At 41.0% G+C, this 20,902-nt stretch overlaps 1 protein-coding gene across 1 annotated transcript in view, besides 1 other annotated feature; it reads right to left on the bottom strand.

Annotated features, from left to right (window-relative positions):
* Window positions 1-20,902, bottom strand: part of KIAA1217 — an 853,117-nt gene that overhangs the window by 437,443 nt on the left and 394,772 nt on the right. The gene's annotated exons all lie outside the window — the stretch shown is intronic.
* Window positions 13,670-14,287: an enhancer, noted in NCBI's record as "OCT4-NANOG hESC enhancer chr10:24385043-24385660 (GRCh37/hg19 assembly coordinates)". NCBI's record gives its function as "activates a minimal SCP1, AML or CMV promoter by ChIP-STARR-seq in naive H9 embryonic stem cells {active_cell/tissue: H9 hESC(naive)}" and the evidence as "EXISTENCE:reporter gene assay evidence [ECO:0000049][PMID:30033119]".

Below are 20,902 nucleotides of genomic sequence, written 5' to 3'. Positions count from 1 at the left end.
TATAATAGTACACACAGCCTCCTTTGAAAAATGAATCTGCATTTTTTTACTATTTTTGGCTCCCCACGAGCACTGAATAAAGTGACAGAATAGACTAATTTTAATAATACTTCTCTCATATGGATAAGAGAGAACTCTGAAGATCTGTGCTGATACTTTGCTATAATTGATACAAATGTACAACTAGTTTGTCTTCGGACGAAGACAGAGATGAACTAATTTACCAACATGGAAAGTGAATTAGGAACCACCATTTTCTTATACAAACTCAAGTAATTAAGACTGTCTCAAAGTCCATTCTCATCTATAGTTATACCAGAGCCACTTTGCACTTGATAGGTTTGTAAACAATTATTAACCAAAAACAACATCAGCTACGCATAGTGGCGTGCCTGTAGTCCCAACTACTTGGGAGGCTGAGTTGGGAGAAACCCTTGCACCCAGCAGGTCAAGGCTGCAGTGAGCAGTGATCGTGCCACTGCACTCTTGCCTGGGCAACAGAGCGAGACGTTGTCTCAAACAACAACAAACAAACCATGACATCAATAACAATCTAATAGAATTTTTATTTCCGTTTTGATCGATTCCAAATCCATCTCAAACCAAATCCTTTATGACTGTCATGTTGACAGCTACTGAATTCTTCCTATATTTTTTATATCCCCCAAACATTGACTTCTTATTCCTCGTTCTTTTTACATTTATTCCTGGACTTATCTTTCCTTTCACCATTCTTCCTTTCACTTTCAAGCACTTTTTTCCTCTTTTTTAACACTCTTCAATTTCCCTTGAATGTCCATCTGGATTTCTGTTGATTTCAGATCCCCATGAACTTACTTCCTACCCCACCCTCCAGTTTCCATCTGTTCATTTTTCCCCTGGTTTTCTCCAGTGCAGTTAATCCACATAGAGAATTATTGACAGAAGATAGGAGCCGTACAAAGATCATAAATCTATAGCTCAATGTAAACGTTGCTCAGTAATCTATCTTGCAAACATGTTAATCAAAAAAAAAAGAGACCACAGTTCAACCAAAAAGTTAATAAATTCAATTAACTATATAAAACAAGATAGTTATCCCAATTTAAAAAAAGGCAACTGGGAACACAGACAAAAGAGTTAGCGTCTTTCCATCTGTGACATTAAATAATGTAAGCACCCCTAGTGGCATCGTTTGTTTGTTTTGTTGTTACTCATGGTGTTGATCCATCTCTCTGATCATTAGTGAAAGGAGTGACAAATAAAGTGAAATTCAAATATACCCAGTCTTGGCCAGGCACGGTAGCTCATGCCTGTAATACCAACACTTTGGGAGCCTGAGGCGTTGGATCACTTGAGGTCAGGAGTTCAAGAGCAGCCTGGCCAACATGGGGAAACCCCGTCTCTACTAAAAATACAAAAAACAGCTGGGTGTGGTGCCACATGCCTGTAATCCCAGCTACTTGGGAGGCTGAGGCAGAAGAATCGCTTGATCCTGGGAGGCGGAGGTTGCAGTGAGCCGATATTGAGCCATTGCACTCCAGCCTGGGCAACAGAGTGAAACATAGTCTCGAAACAAAACAAAACAAAACAAAGTTTTGAGAACATGTTGATTCCTCTTGTCTCCCCAATCATTCATTATTTATTATGTTGCCTAGATTCCCATCTACTTTCCAATTGAGGGGCCATATTTAGATCTTGGCATGATTGAATAGACTTATCAAGTATCATTCTGTGACATGACAATAATAGCTGCTTCTTGAAAGTTCAGATATATTACATCGATTGCATTCTCCTCATCCATTAATTTTATCATTCCATAAAAAAGCCATTGAGTTAGTAAAAGATGACTCCTGATCCTCATTTTTCTAATCTTTAGTTGACTTCAAGGTTTCTTTTCTCTTGCTATTCATTTAACTATTATACAAAGGACTCAAGCCACACTTTCTGGGCAGTAAATTCCAAGATATATTTTGTGAATATGTTTTAAAACTGCAAGTACCACATTTAAAAATTTTCCCTCCAGCCCTTATTTACTATACAACCTCAAAAGTCTTTTCAATCTTAAGAAACCCCCAATCATTGAATTCTAGTTAATAACATGGTCACCAGGCATTCTTATCTGTTTTTGCTACCGAAATATTTTTGGCTGTGAAGTAATCCTAGAGTTTCTGCCTCTGCCTCAGTGGAGGTTAGCATTTTTCTGAAGATGTGTGATTTCTTTCCATTATAAACAATTCCTATGGTTACACAGTCACTCACACCTAGTATATAAAATAAAATAGCCTTCCTTAGGATGAGAAGTCAAATCTAACAAGTGCAGGCTTCTGGAACCTTCTTGGCTACTTCTTCCCTCTTCCTTGCTTTGACCTCTGATGCTTGTTGTGTGCCTGTAGACTCTTCAGATGAACCCCCAGACCTACCTTTACCTGGACAACCCCATCCTGCCACCTACAATGTCACAGAGTAATGTGATCAAACCATTAATATTTCATTTTTTTTCTGCTTCACTTGCTAGTTCTATACCTATAAAAGTGACTTAAAGCTGATAACCTAAACAGTATTTTGTTAGTACTGTTCTTCCCCTTTGCAGCACTAAGCAACACTTTCATCCCTTGTGTGAGTACAAGGTCTGTTAAAAGATTCTGATAGTGTTGTTAAAAATTGTTAGAAGATTGGATTTAGCCAGACATTCACTTCCAAGATGGATAATTTTAGACTTGGTGATGTTCTCAAAAGAAGACATATGTGTGGCCAACAAGCATATGAAAAAACGCTCAAAATCACTAATCATTAGAGAAATGCAAATCAAAACCACAATGAGATACCATCTCACACCAGTCAGAATGGCTATGATTAGAAAGTCAAAAAGTAACAGATGCTGGTGAGATTGCAGAGAAAAGGGAATGCTTAAACACTGCTGGTGGGAGTGTAAACTAGTTTAGCCACTGTGGAAAGCAGTTTTCAGATTTCTCAAAGAATTCACAACAGATCTACCATTTGTCCCAGCAACCCCATTACTGGGCACATACTCAAAGGAGTATAAATCATTCTACCATAAAGACACATGCACACCTATGTTCATCACAGCACTATTCACAATAGTGAAGACATGGAATCAATCTAGATGCCCATCAATAGTGAACTGGATAAAGAAATGCAGTACAGATACACCATGGAATACTATGCAGCCATAAAAAAGAATGAGGTAATGTCCTTTGCAGCAACATGGATGCAGCTAGAGGCCATTATCCTAAGTGAATTAACGCAGCAACAGAAAACCAAATACTGCATGTTCTCACTTATAAGTGGGAGCTAAACACTGAGTGCACATGGACAAAATCAAGGGAACAACAGACATTGGGATTTACTTGAGGGTGGAGGCTGGGAGGAGGGTGAGGATTGAAAAACTACTTATTGGGTACTATGGTCATTACCTGGATGACAAAATAATCTGTACACCAAACCCCCATGACATGCAATTTAGCCATGTAAAAAACCTGCACATGTACCCCTGAACCTAAAAGTTGGAAAGAAAAAACAAAACCAACCAACCAACCAACCAAACAACACAACAACAAAAAAGAATTGGTGATGAAATAACTGGTGGGGATTTTCCAAAGGACAGGCATCTGGTCCTGTCTTTTATATTTAGGCAGAAAAATTATGAAAATGGATGAGACAGTTGAGATGCATTCTGCTGTACATCTGGTATAGAATGCTTGACAACAGTAAGGTGGGATAAGCTGGGATACTCAATGACCTCCTGATTCCTGGCACGTCATTCAGCTGTAGGTAACTGAGATTCCAACTCCCATCACTGAGGCATAAACACACAAGGGTTTTTTTTTCTGTCATGTAAATGAAGTCAACTTAGGCAGTTAGAGCTTGAATGGGAAATTCATATAATCAGGGACCAAGTCCCCTACAGGCTTTATAATCTAGTAGGCTAGAGTGGACTTCCAGCCTCCAAGTCACCTTATGGTTCAAAATGGCTGCTGCAGCACCATCCATTTACTCTACATTCTAGGCAGGAGGAAGGAGAACAGGAAGAAGATGTTCTTACCCTCTCTTTTTAAAGATATTTTCCTGAAGTCCTGTACAACTGATCACTTATATCTCATTGGTTAGTCTCCAGATAATTACATGGCTACACCTAATTGCAAGGGAGGTTGAGAAATGCAATCCTTTTCTAGGTGCCATCGTCCCAGCCAAGCATCAGGGTCCTGTTACCAAGGAGGCAACGGCAGACAACTAACTGCCCCTGCCACCCTTGTGTCCTGGAAATGATTACACAGAACATATCACATACACTGCCACCATCTGATATGTGGTGTGGTATTGTCAAAATCCCATTGTCAAAATCCCAGCTGCACAAAATCCCATTCCATCACAAGGTTCCCGGTGCTTAGAATTGGTCTCCAACTTCCTAATAACTTCTACTCTTCTTTTAGGCCTCACTGACTCCCCACGCCCTGGGAAGGCCTTCCCTGCCTCGATCAAGGCCCTCTTTCCACAATGCACAGCCCAAGTACTTTCCTCCCCCAAGGCTCCACTCAGGGGAAGTTTCCACACGCATGCATGCCTTGTGGATTGATGGTTGCCATAGCTTCCATTCTAGGCCGAAAGCCCCATGAAGGCAGTAACCTGGTCTTTTCATTTGTTTCTTCACCATTGCATCCTAGAAGAATGCCTGGAACATAGTAGATACTCAATAAAGATTTGCTGAGAAATGAATGCAACTATTCTGCTCAGAAGGAATGCAACCTCACAGAGGACCCACTAAGCTCCAAGGGAGACAGCAGAACTGCAGCCCCTGCAGGCCATGGAGATCAGTGGACCAGGAATAAAAAGAATCTCAGTTCTAGATGAGAACAGATACCACTGGTTTCTTGAGCAGGAGGAACTAGAAGCTTATTTATGCCTGGCTCAGCTCACTGCTGTTAGGGACATTTCATCCTCGCCTGTGAGATGGGCTGAATGAGGGACATTAAAAAGCTGCTACCTTTGATACATGAATATCTCCCAGTACATCCTGGCTTCCACCTGCTCTTCCTTCTCCTGCACCTACTCCGTCTGGCTGAACCTGATGGCTGAGTCTTTATATTTTTGCTGTCTACCAGACTTGAGATTTTTGCAACTTGATGCTTTGTGCTATTCAGGTGTTCCCTGAGTCAGTTTTTCTGGGATGCTTGAATTTTCTCTTGCTCCTTACTTTTTTTGCCTCTGTGAGTCGCTAGAATTTCAACCTGGACCCAAACCTAGGACTCCATACTTATATTCTAGTTAGTTGGCATGCATCTCTACAGTTACATAACTATTAAGTATTCATCATCATCATCATCATCATCATCATCATCATCTTGCAGTGGGAAGTTTCATCATTTTGAACATTTTCTTTGGTATCTTCACCAAATTCCAAGTAGAAAATTACAGAATCTAAACAGACAGGAAATGTGTTTGAGGGAAACCACTTTGATTATTCCAGGTAAAACCAGATGAAGAGCATCCTTAATAAAATGTGGCTTTGCCAACTTTAGAAGACATCCTTCATCATTTTTATAAGTACAGATAAAATTTTTAAATCACACTTTACTTTTTAGAGTAGTTTTAGGTTCATAGCAAAATTGAGCAGAAAATCCAGAAAGTCACCGTCTACTTTTTGTCCCTACATGTGCACAGCCTCTTCTACTGTCAATATCTGAATCACAGTGGTACATTTATTACAATCAACGAGTTTACATTGGCACTTCATTTTCACCCAAAGTCCATAGGATGCTCTCTTGGCATGGTACATGCTGTAGGTTTTGACAAATGTATGATTACCTGTACTCACCATTATAGTATCATGCAAAGTATTTTCACTGCCCTGAAAATCCTCTGTGCTCCACCTATTCATCCCTCCTTCCTCCCAGAACCTGACAACCACTGATCTTTTTTTTACTTTCTCCCTAGTTGCCTTTTCAAGAATGTTGTATAGAGACCTATGTCATATATTTGGAATCAAATTGGCGGCTTGTTTCTCTTAGTAGTATGCATTTAAGATTCTTTCATATCTTTTCAAGGCTTGATAGCTCATTTCTTTTTAGTGCTGAGTGATGGTTCATTGTCTGGATATACCATGGTTTATTTATCCATTCACTTACTGGAGGACATCATTGTTGCTCCCAAGTTTTGACAATCATGAATAAAACTTCTATAAACAACTGTGTAAAGGTTTTATGTGGATAGAAGTTTTCAACTTCTCTTTGGGTAAATACCAAGGAGCATGATTGTTGGATCACATGGTAAAAGTCTGCTTAGTTTTGTAAGAAACTGCCAAACTGCCTTCCAAAGTGGCTATAGCATTTTGCATTCCCACCAGTAATGAATGAATCCCCACAATGTGTGGGGATTATGGGAACTACAATTCAAGATGAGATTTGGGTGGGGACACAGCCAAAAATATCACCCATTATATTGGCTTTGCTCCTTCCTCAAAGATCAGTTGAATATGTTTGTGTTGGTCTATTTTTGGGGGACAGAGAATTCATTCTTTTGGCTGAACTATTTATCTATTCATTCACCAATACCATGTTATCCTGATTACTGTTGCTTGAAAGTAAGTCTTGAAGTTGGGGAATGTCTTGACTTTGTTCTTCTTCAATATGGTGTTGGCTATTCCATTTCCTTGTCAGCATTTGGTGTTGTCAGTGTTCTGGATTTTGTCCATTCTAATAGGTGTGTGGTGGTATCTCATCATTTTAATTTGCATTTCTCTAATGAAATGTAGAACATCTTTTCATATGCTTTTTTTCTATCTGTATATATTCTTTGGGGACATATCTGCTAAGTCCTTTGGCCCACTTTTAAATTGGGTTGTCTTATTATTGTTGGGTTTTAAGAGTTCGTTGCATAATTTATATAATAGTCCTTTTTCAGATGTGTCTTTTCCAAATATATTCTCCCAGTTATTGGCTTGCCTTCTCATTCTCTTGACATTGTCTTTCAGAGAGCAGAAATTTTTGATGTAGGCTGGCTTATCAATTATTTATTTCATGGATTGTGGCTTTTTTCTTGTATCTAATAAGTCATTACCACATCTAAGGTCATCTAGGTTTTCTTCTGTGTCATCTTTCAGGAGCTTTATTGTTTTGCATTTATATCCATTTTGAGTTAGTTTTTGTGAAGGATGTGAGTCTGTGTCTAGATTCTTTTCTTTTTTTATTGTATGTGTTGTCTAGTTGTTCCAGTACCCTATTTTAAAAAGACTATCTTCCCCATTGTATGAGTCTGTTCTCACACAGCTAATAAAGACATACTCAAGACTGGGTAATTTATAAAGGAAAGAGGCTTCATTGATTCACAGTTCCACATGGCTGGGGAGAGCTCACAGTCATGGTGGAAGGTGAATGAGGGGCAAAGTCACATCTCACATGGCAGCAGGCGAGAGAGCTTGTGCAGGGGATCTCCCATTTATAAAACCATCAGATCTCATGAGACTTAATCACTGCCCTGAGCACAGTACGGGAAAAACCCGCTCCCATGATTCAATTACCTCCCACCAGGACCTTCCCACAACACATGGGGATTATGGGAACTACAATTCAAGATGAGACTTGGGTAGGGACACAGCCAAACATATCACCCATTGTATTGCTTTTGCTCCTTCCTCAAAGATCAGTTGAATATGTTTGTGTTGGTCTATTTCTTGAGGGGAAGGGAATTTATTCTTTTGGCTGAACTATTTATCTATTCATTCACTAATACCACATTATCTTGATTACTGTTGCTTTAAAGTAAGTCATGAAGTTGGGGAATGTCAGTCCTTCGACTTTGTTCTTCTCCTTCAATATGGTGTTGGCTATTCTGGGTCATTTGCCTCTTCATATAAATGTTAGAATCAGTTTATTGATATTCATGAAATAACTTTCAGGGATTTTGATTAGGATTTCATTGAATCTATACATCAAGTTGGGAAGAACTGACATCTTAACAATATTCAATCTTTCTATCCACAAACATGTAATATATTTCCATTTATTTAGTAGTTCTTTGATTTCTTTCATCAGAGCTTTGAGTTTTCTTCATATAGATCTTATACATATTTTGTTAGTTTTATACTTAAATATTTCAATTTTTGGTGCTAATGTAAATGACATTGTGTTTTTAATTTCAAGTCTCAATTGTTTATTGCTGGTATATAGGAAAGCAACTGACTTTTGTATATTAACATTTTATCCTACAACCTTGCTATAATTGCTTCTTCATTCCAGGACATTTTTTTGGTTCTTTCAGATTTTCTATGTAGATAATCATGTCATCTGTGACCAAAGACAGTTTTATTTATTCCTTCCCAATTTTTACACCTTTGGATTTTTTAAAATTGGGATATAATTCACGTACCATAAAGCTGAGCCTCTAAAAATGTACAGTTTAGTGGCTTTTGGTATAGTCACAGAATTGTGCAACTATCACCACTATCTAATTCTGGACTATTTTCATAACCTCCCAAAGAAATCCCATATCCATTAATTATTTTTCACCCTTCCACTCACTGGATATGTCACATTTTACACTAAAAATCCAACATCCAAGATAAATAAACTACTGTTCAGACAATTTAAAAGTATAAAAAGCAAAAAGCAAAACCAGAACCAAAACACAATGAAAAGCACAAGATGACTAATTTCCAAATGAAAATACTAGGCTAAACATTATGAAATTATCATTTTTACAAGCAAAAACGACCTAACAATGTCAATTTCATATAGTCCAATCTAATATTTGCATCAGTATATCGAAATCATTGAATTTCTTCAGAATACCTTGACGAGTATAGCTTTCAATGTAATTCATTATTAGCTCCCAAGTATAGCAATAATAATGTGCAAACAGAATATGAATAAATGAAAACAGCAAACATTAAAAAATCATTTTCAAATCCTTGATTTAAGCGTCCACCAGGGCTGTCATACCCTCACAGGAATGGATGTCCTTGCTGGTTCCCAAGCATGCATAGAAAGGGAATCCAAATACTTAAAAACAAATTTTAGAACTTTTTTTTTACATTATTTAAATGTCTTAGACAATTTTATGAATAATTTAGAATCATAAAACTCCACTAATAACCATTAGGGAAAAAAATGAAACTTGTGCCAATACCGTGTGGCCACTGCTAATGATCTTCTCAGATGTCCCATCAGCTGGGTTTCTGCAATAATGTATGCTGTTAACACAGGAGTGCTTTTCTTCATCAAGCCATGGCTGTATTTTGACCTTGACTCCTTTTGTGATTTGACTCCAAAAATTGCAGTTTGTTGTTTTAGTTCTTTTTAGCAATGGTAACGTGGAATACTGTTTTTTGTTTTGTTTTTGTTTTGTTTTGTTTTGTTGAGAAAAAGAAACACCATAAAAAGCAGCTTAAAGGATGTTTGTTAGCAGGGCCACAAAGTGGCCACAAAATTTCTGATACAAAACATTTATCCCAGGTTCCTTGGGCATATTTTTTCTATATATTTTTAGGGCATTTAATAATAGGAGTATATTGCTGAATTTTTATTTTCCTAGTTCATTTTATGAGGAAAATAGAAAACAAACAAACAATATCTAATTTCTCTAAAGCTGACATGAAAAGGAAGAAAATAGAAAAGCAAAATACCTAAGATAATTAAGATCTAAATAATAAAAACTGCAGTCATACTAGAAATATATTCTATAGTATGAGAATTGATTTCCTTGCAAAATAGTTTGAAAAGGGAAAAGTTGATAATATTTATTGCCTTGAAGGCAACTGTCTAAACTGGGCCAGGACACAAACTAAATGACAGCCTTGCTAAAAGCAACATTCACTTTAAGTATTAAGTGCTTGTCTTACATAAGACACAGAGTGAGAAAGCACCCTATTTACAGTCAACCTTGTGGATCAGCAGACAGACTTGAAAAAGGGCCTATTATGATAGGGTGATGGTTAGTTATGTTGATTTTACTGTTACTCTTTTGTGATAATTTTCACACCCAAAGTAATTAATGTATTTAAATGTATGTTACAAGTTCACTATTGCTATCTCCTGGGCTTCATACCGAGTCACAGAGTGTCCTCTCTGGCAGCTGCATACACCCAATGGGTCGCTGTCTGCACAGAAACCTTTTATTCTTAATGAAACAGATGTGCAACCTGCTGGGCTCAGACTTTATTGACCAAGTAGAGTAGCAACTTCAAGCTTATTACCAACCTAACTAACATAATAGCAGCCTCAGACCCTTGTTTCTTGGTGGAGTGATGAAAACAAACAAAAAAAACCCTAAAAGGATTGAAGACCAATGAAATGAGACACAAAGACTTATTTTGCTATAGTGAAGACAGGAGAGGGAGGGGAGGAGGAGGACAAATAAAAGAAAAGGGCTGTCCCAGTAATGCAACTGCAGCCACCTCTTATCAGGTGGAATATTATTGGCAGGCAAATAAAAGACAAGGAAATCATATCAAGTCTCCTTTCAAGGCAGGTGAAATGAGGCAGCATTTGAGGTGGGAATCATCTCTGCAGTGGCAAAACTAGTAACCTATCTACCCCTGCAGTGTCGCAAGGACAAAAAAACCAAACACCACATGTTCTCACTCATAGGTGGGAATTGAACAATGAGAACACTTGGACACAGGAAGGGGAACATCACACACCGGGGACTGTTGTGGGATGGGGGGAGGGGGGAGGGATAGCATTAGGAGATATACCTAATGTAAATGACGAGTTAATGGGTGCAGCACACCAACATGGCACATGTATACATATGTAACAAACCTGCACATTGTGCACATGTACCCTAGAACTTAAAGTATAATAAAATATATATATATAATATATATATATATATAAAGAAAATGTGGCACATATACACCATGGAATACTATGCAGCCATAAAAAAGGATGAGTTAATGTCCTTCATAGCCACATAGATGAAGCTGGAAACCATCATTCTGAGCAAACTATCACAAGGACAGAAAACCAAATACTGCATGTTCTCACTCATAGGTGGGAATTGAACAATGAGAACACTTGGTCACAGGAAGGGGAACTTCACTCACTGGGACCTGCCGTGGGGTAGGGGAATGGGGGAGGGATAGCATTAGGAGAAATAACTAATGTAAATGACGAGTTAATGGGTGCAGCAAACCAACATGGCATATGTATACATATGTAACAAACCTGCACGTTGTGCACATGTACCCTAGAACTTAAAGTATTAAAAAAAAAAAAGTTTTTGCAGGAGAAAAAAATAAAAATAAAAATAAAAAAAAAGAAAAGGGCCTTCCCAACTTCTTCCTGGGAGCCGGGAAATGGATTTGCCCAAACAAGGGTGGGGACTCCTGGGCAAGATTAGAGAGGGTGCCTGATGGCTTTTCTTGCTGTTGTTTTTTCTACAGTGGTTTAGTGAGTGGACTGAAGTGGGTGCAGTCTGGTCTTGAACTTGAACCCTCTGTCACCCAGGCTGGAATATAGTGGTGCAATCACAGCTCACTGCAGCCTTGAACTCCTGGTCTCAAGCGATCTTTCTGTCTCAGCCTCTCAAGTAGCTGGGACTACAGGTGCATACCACCATGCCTAGCTAATGAAAACTTTTTTTTTCAGAGACAGGGTCTTCCAATAGGCATTCTTTCCCTGTGTGTCTGTCTGTCTCTCTCTAACACACACACACACACACACACACACACACACACACGCTCCCCTTCAGAGGGGAGGGTTACAGGCTGCTCTCTTTGAGATAGTCAGATAGTCTGAGCAGACTAACAGCCTATGAAATTTACCTTAAATCCATTCCCCAACTTCCCACAGAGCTCAGAGAAATTTGTCTAGTCCCTGAGCTGCCAGAAAGTGGCTTGCATGGACCCTGCCCCACAGAGGGTATCAAGGCTGTAGCTTTTGGCCTTTGGTCTCTAGATATAGCTGAGTAGACCCTTCTCCACTCACAGAACAGAGCAATCCATCTAGAGCCTCAGTGAGCTTTTAGTGTCCCCAAAGTCCTGGTTTCTTTTCTGTTTGGGGTTTTGCAAACTTCAGTTCCATATTTCAGACACTCTGCTTTCTCTATACTTTGTAGTCTAAAGCCACTCTTTATTTTTCCTCTAAGTGTAGGATGGGCAAAACAGTTGTATCTCCTCCACAGTTAGGTGCGAATCTCAGCTCACACCTAACTGTGAAAGTAGCAGCAGGTCTCTGGAATTTCTCCTCGTGTCCCACACCTCCTAGGGCCCTTGCAGCTTTTCTGTTTCCATAAGATCCCATATGCTTTACTGAGAGCTGCTCTTCCTCCTTTGCCTCAGAAAACCAAAGGTCATCAGGTCCATAACCCACATGCTCACAAGCACGGCTTTACGTTCTGTGGGTTAACTGGCCTTTTTTCTGGGTCTCCTCTGCCAAAGATCAGCGGCAGCTCCAGGGCATGCAAGCAGAAAAGGAGGCGTGTTGCCCCTGGAACACAGAGATCCGTGGCCTGTAGTTCCAGGCAGTTTCCCTAGAGGAATGCAGGTACCTCCCCATTGGTGCCGTGGCTGTTCCTGCCTATGAAATGTGGCCTGGCCTTGGCACAATTCTGCCTGAAGAAAAGGAGACCACCTGCCGAGAAAATTATCTGCATAAATAATGATTTCACTTCAGCTTTCCTTGCAGATGGTCCTGATTTGGAAGAGGTATGCAGACAGTCTTTGAAATATGACTTCTGTTTTTTAGGCCACTTGGAATTCTTCACAAGTCTCTCCATCACCGTGACAATTTATTGGCCTGGAATCATTAGCTGCCTCTGAAACCCAGTTCTTTTCTTCTTAATTTCTTACTATTTAAAAAATTTCCAGACTCTTCTTTTCTTTTCTTTTCGCCTTCCTCTCTCTCTCTCTTTTTCTTTCTAGAGATGGGGTCTCATCCTGTTGCCCAGGCTGGAGTGCAGTGATGTGACTACAGCCTCCACCTCCTAGGCTCAAGTGATCCTCCCTCCTCAGCCTCCTGAGTAGCTGGGACTACAGGCATAAGCCACCACACTTGGCTAATGTTTTTTTGTGTTTTCAGAGATAGGATCTTGCTATGTTGTTCAGGCTAGTCTTAAACTCCCAGGCTCAAGGGATCTTCCTGCCTCAGCCTGCTAAGTAACTGGGATTATAGGCATGAACCACTGAGTCCAGCCAGATGCTAATCTCTGAATCTACTTTTTCCCTTATTCCTTTGAAGTACAACTAGTCATCAGATCCTATAAATTTTTCCTCTTCCTATTGTCACCATTCTAATCCAGGCTATATTCCTCCATGCCTGGCCTATTACATTATAATAGTGTTGTTGGTTTCCCCAATCTTTCTTGCACATGATTGCCATGTTAATGCTTTTAACACAATCCCCAGTGTCTTTCCATGCACGAATGCCTTCAATGGCCCACCGTTACCTATATACAATGTATTGTACTGTGTGTTACTCAGCTGATTACCTTAACTTGTTTTTCTGTCCAATAGATATTTATGGAGCACCTGCAGATATTTATTGAGTATATACATCATCCTTGGCTCTAGAAAGCAATGAATAAGCCTGACCCACTTCTTTCTTGCCTTTTAGAGAAGAGGGGTTGATAGGAAAAAATAAATGCTCAGAAAGAGAAACTATGAAAGCATGTAATAAGGGAAGCAAATCTAGTCTCTGGAGTCACGGGAGGCAGAAGTGGCATTTCAGCTGAGGCCTGAGGGTGAATAATGATGAATTACTGAAGGGCAGGTGAGGAACACAGCACATGCAAAGGGCCTGAGGTAAAAAAAATTTGCTGCAGGTCTGGAAGGAGACAGAGGGAGATGGGGAAGTACACAGAGGATAAAGGTGGGGAGGTCACCAGGGGCCAGACCCTGCAGAGCCTGGTAGGATGTGCTCAGGAATTTGACTTTATTATAAAAGCAATGGGAAATCACAGCAGGCCTAAAGCAGAGGAATGCAACAATTTATTGTGTTTCAAAAAGATTATCCCAGCTGCAACGTGAAGGAGGTTTGCATAAGAGCCTACTGGGTGACTAAATAGGAGGAGGAGTGCAGATAAGAGGTGGTGGCACCCTGGACCAGGGTAGTGCCACTGAAGTTAGTAGAAAAGGAGAAAATACATGGATTCAAGAGAGAATGAGAATGATCAGCCATGGGGGATCTGGATTGGAGGGAAATGACAAAGAGGGAGATTAAGGATAATGTCTAAGCTTTTAGCACAAACAACAGACAACCATGGTCACCTTTAAGGAGTTGGGAACCCAGAAAAAGAAGCAGGCATGGGTGTGGAGGTTGATGCTGAGTTTAGAATAGTTTAGTTTCATTTTGTTTTCAAGACAGGATCTCACTCTGTCACCCAGGATGGAATACAGTGGTGCAATCACAGCTCACTGCAGGCTTGAATTCCTGGTCTCAAGCGATCTTTCTGTCTCAGCCTCTCAAGTAGCTGGGACTACAGGTGCATACCACCATGCCTAGCTAATGAAAACTTTTTGTTTTTCGGAGACAGGTCTCATTATGTTTTTCAGCCTGGCCTCAAATTCCTGACCTCAAGCGATCCTACCATCTTGGCCTCCCAAAGTGCCGGGATTATTGGCTTGAACCACCACGCCAGGTGCAAGTTTAGTTTTGGACAATCTAGTACACATTGGATACCTCTAAGAGGTATCTAAAAGGTATAATAGAAACATAGGTCAGTCTGGAGTTCAGAAGAGGAGCCAGTGTGAGAGGTAAATTTGTGAGTACTGGCATATTTGGTAGTTGAGACCATAAGAGTGATAGAGTTTGTCTAGGGAGAACTTGTAGAGAGAGAAGAGAGAGTGGCCTGGGTCTGAGAATCAAAGAACAGCATCATGGAAAGGTTGAGTAGAGAAGAAAGAACTTGGGTCTGAGAAAATGAAGCCAATGCAGTGGGAGGAAGGCTGGAGAGGGTGGTTTCTGGAAATTAAGAGAAGAAGGTGTGTTCAGTGGGGTGGGGTGTCACAGTATTGGATGCAGTAAGCTATGGACTATCAAGTCCTCATGAAGCTATAGAGGCCATTAATACCATTAGAGGGCTGGAGCCATGATGGCCGAATAGGAACAGCTCCGGTCTACGGCTCCCAGCATGAGCGACGCAGAAGATGGGTGATTTCTGCATTTCCAACTGAGGTACCAGGTTCATCTCACTAGGGAGTGCCAGACAGTGGGCGCAGGACAGTGGGTGCAGCGCACCCGTGCACGAGCAGAAGCAGGGCGAGGCATTGCCTTACTCGGGAAGCGCAAGGGGTCAGGGAGTTCCCTTTCCTGGTCAAGGAAAGGGGTGACAGATGGCACCTGGAAAATCGGGCCACTCCCACGTGAATACTGCGCTTTTCCGACGGGCTTAGGAAACGGCGCATCAGAAGAATATATCCCACACCTGGCTCGGAGGGTCCTATGCCCACGGAGTCTCACTGATTGCTAGCACAGCAGTCTGAGATCAAACTGCAAGGCGGCAGCCAGGCTGGGGGAGGGGCGCCCACCATTGCCTAGGCTTGCTTAGGTAAACAAAGCAGCCGGGAAGCTCGAACTGGGTGGAGCCCACCACAGCTCAAGAAAGCCTGCCTGCCACTGTAGGCTCCACCTCTGGGGGCAGGGCACAGACAAACAAAAAGACAGCAGTAACCTCTGCAGACTTAAGTGTCCCTGTCTGACAGCTTTGAAGAGAGCAGTGGTTCTCCCAGCACGCAGCTGGAGATCTGAGAACCGGCAGACTGCCTCCTCAAGTGGGTCCCTGACCCCTGACCCCCGAGCAGCCTAACTGGGAGGCATCCCCCAGTAGGGGCAGACTGACACCTCACACGGCTGGGTACTCCTCTGAGACAAAACTTCCAGAGGAACAATCAGACAGCAGCATTTGCGGTTCACGAAAATCCGCTGTTCTGCAGCCACTGCTGCTGATACCCAGGCAAACAGGGTCTGGAGTGGACCTCTAGCAAACTCCAACAGACCTGCAGCTGAGGGTCCTGTCTGTTAGAGGGAAAACTAACAAACAGAAAGGACATCCACACCAAAAACCCATCTGTACATCACCATCATCAAAGACCAAAAGTAGATAAAACCACAAAGATGGGGAAAAAACAGAGCAGAAATACTGTCAGGAAACAACAGGTGCTGGAGAGGATGTGGAGAAATAGGAACACTTTTACACTGTTGGTGGGACTGTAAACTAGTTCAACCATTGTGGAAGTCAGTGTGGTGATTCCTCAGGGATCTAGAACTAGAAATACCATTTGACCCAGCCATCCCATTACTAGGTATATACCGAAAGGACTATAAATCATGCTGCTATAAAGACACATGCACACGTATGTTTATTGCGGCACTATTCACAATAGCAAAAACTTGGAACCAACCCAAATGTCCAACAATGATAGACTGGATTAAGAAAATGTGGCACATATACACCATGGAATACTATGCAGCCATAAAAAATGATGAGTTCATGTCCTTTGTAGGGACACGGATGAAATTGGAAATCATCATTCTCAGTAAACTATTGCAAGAACAAAAAACCAAACACCGCATATTCTCAGTCATAAGTGGGAATTGAACAATGAGAACACATGGACACAGGAAGGGGAACATCACACTCTGGGGACTGTTGTGGGGTGGGGGGAGGGGGGAGGGATAGCTTTAGGAGATATACCTAATGCTAAATGACGAGTTAATGGGTGCAGCACACCAGCATGGCACATGTATACATATGTAACTAACCTGCACATTGTGCCCATGTACCCTAAAACTTAAAGTATAATAATAATAAAATTTAAAAAAGTAACCATTATAACTGAAAAAAAAAAAATTCTTAGTTGAGTGCCAAGTGCCGTGGCTCACACCTGTAATCCCAGCACTTTGGGAGGCCGAGGTGAGAGGATGGCAGCAGTCTAGGAGTTTGAGACCAGCTTGGGCAACATAGTGAGACCTTGTCTCTACTGAAAAAGAATAGAGCCGAGAGTGGTGGCTCACACCTGTAATCCCAGCACTTTGAGAGGCTGAGGTGGGTGGATCATCGGAGATCAGGAGTTCAAGACCAGCCTGGCAAACATAGTGAAACCCCATCTCTACTAAAAATACAAAAAATTAGCTGGGCATGGTGGCAGGTGCCTGTAATCCCAGCTACTAGGGAGGCTGAGGCAGGAGAATAACTGGAACCCAGCAGGTGGAGGCTGCAGTGAGCCGAGATGGTGCCATTGCACTCCAGCTTAGGCAACAAGAGTAAAACTCCGTCTCAAAAAATAAATAAATAAATAAATAAAAATAACTGGGCATGGTGACACGTGCCTGTAGTCCCAGATACTTGTGAGGCTGAGGTGGGAAGACTACTTGAGCCTGGGAAGTCGAAGCTGCAGTGAGTCGAGATCATGCTACTGCATTCCAGCCTGGGCAACGGAGTGAGACCTTGTCTAAAAAAAAGTCTCAGTTCATATTTCATTTTGGGGTGCCTCTACATCCTGATTTTCTTTCACACACACACACACACACACACACAACACACACACACACACACACACACTATACATACACACAGTAAAATTCACTTTGTCCTGTAGAGTTATATGGATTCTGACAAATACAAAGAGTTGGCTATCTACCATCACAGCCATGATACAAAACAGTTCCATCACCCTGACATTTTACCATGCTATCCCATAGTAGTTCACTCTTCTGTCTCCACTCCTGGAAACCTACTATTTGTTTCCCATTCCTAGGTTTTTGTTTTTTTTTCATAACGTTATCAGTGAAATCATATGGTACATAGTTTTTTGAGCCAGGTTTCTTTCATTTAATGAAATATATTTAAGAATCATTCAAGCTATTGCATGAGTGAACAGTTCAGTCCTTTCCATTGTTGAGTAGTGTTCCATGGTGTACACAGACTGCAATTTGTGTACCCATTCATAGGTTGAGGGACAGGTTAGTTATTTTCAGTTTTTGTTGATTACAAATAGAGCTATTAGAAACATTTGCATACAGGCTTTGTTTGAACATTAGGTTATTTTTGTTGGGAGTGGGATTGCTGGGTTATATGGCATGGCTATGTTTAGCTTTATAGTCCTTAGTATCTTGATAATGATAGTAGTTTGGTGAGGTGGTAGGATCAAAACAGGAGTGGAGAGGGTTAAGAAGAAAGAGGGAAGTGAGGAGTTGGATATAGTGAGTGAAAGCAATGCTTTAATTTCAGCTGACATGGATAATTTCAGCTGACACAGGGAAGCAGGGATGTGGTTGGAGGTGGCATGAGGTTTAGGGAGGGAAGGGTTGTCAGAGTTAAAAGATACTTGAGCATGTTTAATGATGATGGGAAGGAGGAAGCAGACAGAGAGGATGGAGATAAGGGAAAGAGAAGGACGTTGGGGAGGAAGGAGATAGTGAGGTTTCTGGTAGGATGGGAGGGACTGGCTTTTGATAAAAAGGTAGCTCTTCCATGTTAATGAGAGGGCATAAATGCAGTGAGCCTTTCCAAGCCCTAGTCTGACCTTCACGTGATCTTTTAGGGGATGGCAGAAGACAAGTTCAGCCCTTTCAAACTACATGCCTGCAAAAACTCTTGGCCCCAACCAGACTGTCTCATGATGACATCATGTTCACCCTGTTATTTAAGAGCCAGTGGATGTTTGGGGTTTTGGGGGTGTCAGTAGAGCACCTTTGCTTGCCTAGCAGCGGTGAAGCATTTGCTATGGAAAAGAAGCAAAGCTGCAAGTTCAGCAGATTGTTACTATTTATCCTCAGAGGTATGTTTTACCCTAGTTTCTACAAAAACACTCTTATGATGTTCACAATTGGATCCCAGTATCACAGTTACCACCCAGATCACCAGGACCTGGGTAGGTACAGGAGTTGGGGACAAGCAGCATGCTCATGAAAGTTCCCTTACTGTGTACAGTTTGGCAATTTGTTAACTTTCTTGATAACGTAAACACATTTCCTTGCTAGAGATCTTGACAATGACTCCTGATAATTAGAAGCAGTGGGGACTTTTCCTCTGACTCATTAATGAGTAAAACAGGCTAGAATTTTTCTCCCTATATTCCATCTGTTAAAAAGAAAATGGTATCTACCATAAAGACAGAATAAGAAAAATAGCAGTTGTTTTAGCCAATATGATGAGGATGCCAGTCGCTGGGTGCATTGTTTAAGAAGTTGCCATTTTAAGACCTTCAGGGAAATACCTGAAATGACTCCAGCTGATCACTCTGATCTGTAAAACCTCGTTTTGTTATGTAGCAGAGCAATTTGTGAGGCAGGACTGATAATAACACAGTCAGTTGTTGGATATCAGATTTAACGCCTTAAAAACTCATAGGAACCAATAAATGTTTTGTGGAATGGTTCTATACAGAAGTACTTACTGTGGTAATCTCATCTTAATAGATCTGAAAATGCTACAAGTTTTAAGTCAGAAAATGTACTTTCTTATTTTTGGAAAAGGCTTTGAGACCATCATAAGTGTAATATAATCAGGGAAGAGTTTTGCCGATGGTGAGTTGGGCTGTGAATCCAGACATAATCTACATAGGTAACTAGTGTTTCAATGACATTTGACTATTGTTTTCCTTTTCTCAGCTGCCATGTTATTTATTGGAAGGCTGCCATATTAGAAATAAGATTGCTATCCTTTTGAGAAATTTATTCTAGAATACTTAGCACCATTGATACCAGAGTTAAGAATGCTAGGAAGCAGCTCTGCGATTGTGAAGTTGTTGCTTGATTTTGACTCATTTGCAGACTTTTACAGAGAAGTTGGTCTATGCTGGGGAATGGGGATCCACTGTGGATTAAAGATCACTTCTCCTCTTCGAAATGCTCACAGTCCCTCCTCAAAAATGCTCTTTGAGAAAAACTGGAAAGCAGAGACTTTGTGTCCACTGTGATTTGAGTCCTTGGGAGCACAGAAAGGAAAGATTAGCTCTGTTTGGAGATGTGTTTAAGAAAGTTTTGGCTGGGTGCAGTGGCTCATGCCTGTAATCCTAGGACTTTGGGAGCCTGAGGTGGGAGGACTGCTTGAGGCCGGGAGTTTGAGACCAGCCTGGGTAATATAGCAAGACCCTGTCTCTTCAAAAAAAAAAAAAAAAAAAAAAAAAAAAGAGCAGGATGTGAGGGTGCATGCCTGTAGTTCAAGCTACTTAGGAGGCTAAGGAGGAAGGATTGTGTGAAACCAGGAGTTCAAGGCTGCAGTGAGCCACGATCATGCCACTGCACTCCAGCCTGAGCAAGAGAGCGAGACCCTGTCTCAAAAAAAAAAAAAAAAAAAAGAAAAAGAAAAAGAAAGAAAGAAAAAAGAAAGCTTCCATGACTACTAAATTCCAGCAACTGAGCAGGATCTCCCCACTTTAGACGGCAGAGGAGAGCAAGAAAGACAATCAGAGTGGTCAAGATGTGTTAAAATAGAGAGCCTGATGCCTCCAGCTTTGTTCTTTTGGCTTAGGATTGACTTGGCAATGCAGGACCTTTTTTGGTTCCATATGAACTTTAAAGTAGTTTTTTCTAACTCTGTGAAGAAAGTCATTGGTAGCTTGACAGGGATGGCAATGAATCTATAAATTACCTTGGGCAGTATGGCCATTTTCATGACATTGATTCTTCCTATCCATGAGCATGGAATGTTCTTCCATTTGTTTGTATCCTCTTTTATTTCATTGAGCAGTGGTTTGTAGTTCTCCTTGAAAGGGTCCTTTACATCCTTTGTCACGCTACCTGACTTCAAACTATACTACAAGGCTACAGTAACCAAAACAGCATGGTACTGGTACCCAAACAGAGATACAGACCAATGGAAAAGAACAGAGCCCTCAGAAATAATGCCACACATCTACAACTATCTGATCTTTGACAAACCTGACAAAAACAAGCAATGGGGAAAGGATTCCCTATTTAATAAATGGTGCCAGGAAAACTGGCTAGCCACATGTAGAAAGCTG

The sequence above is a fragment of the Homo sapiens genome, chromosome 10, assembly GCF_000001405.40.
Source record: "Homo sapiens chromosome 10, GRCh38.p14 Primary Assembly".
Taxonomy (NCBI): Eukaryota; Metazoa; Chordata; class Mammalia; order Primates; family Hominidae; genus Homo; species Homo sapiens.
Note: the sequence above shows the minus strand (reverse complement) of the source record. Positions and strands in the feature narration are given on the sequence as shown.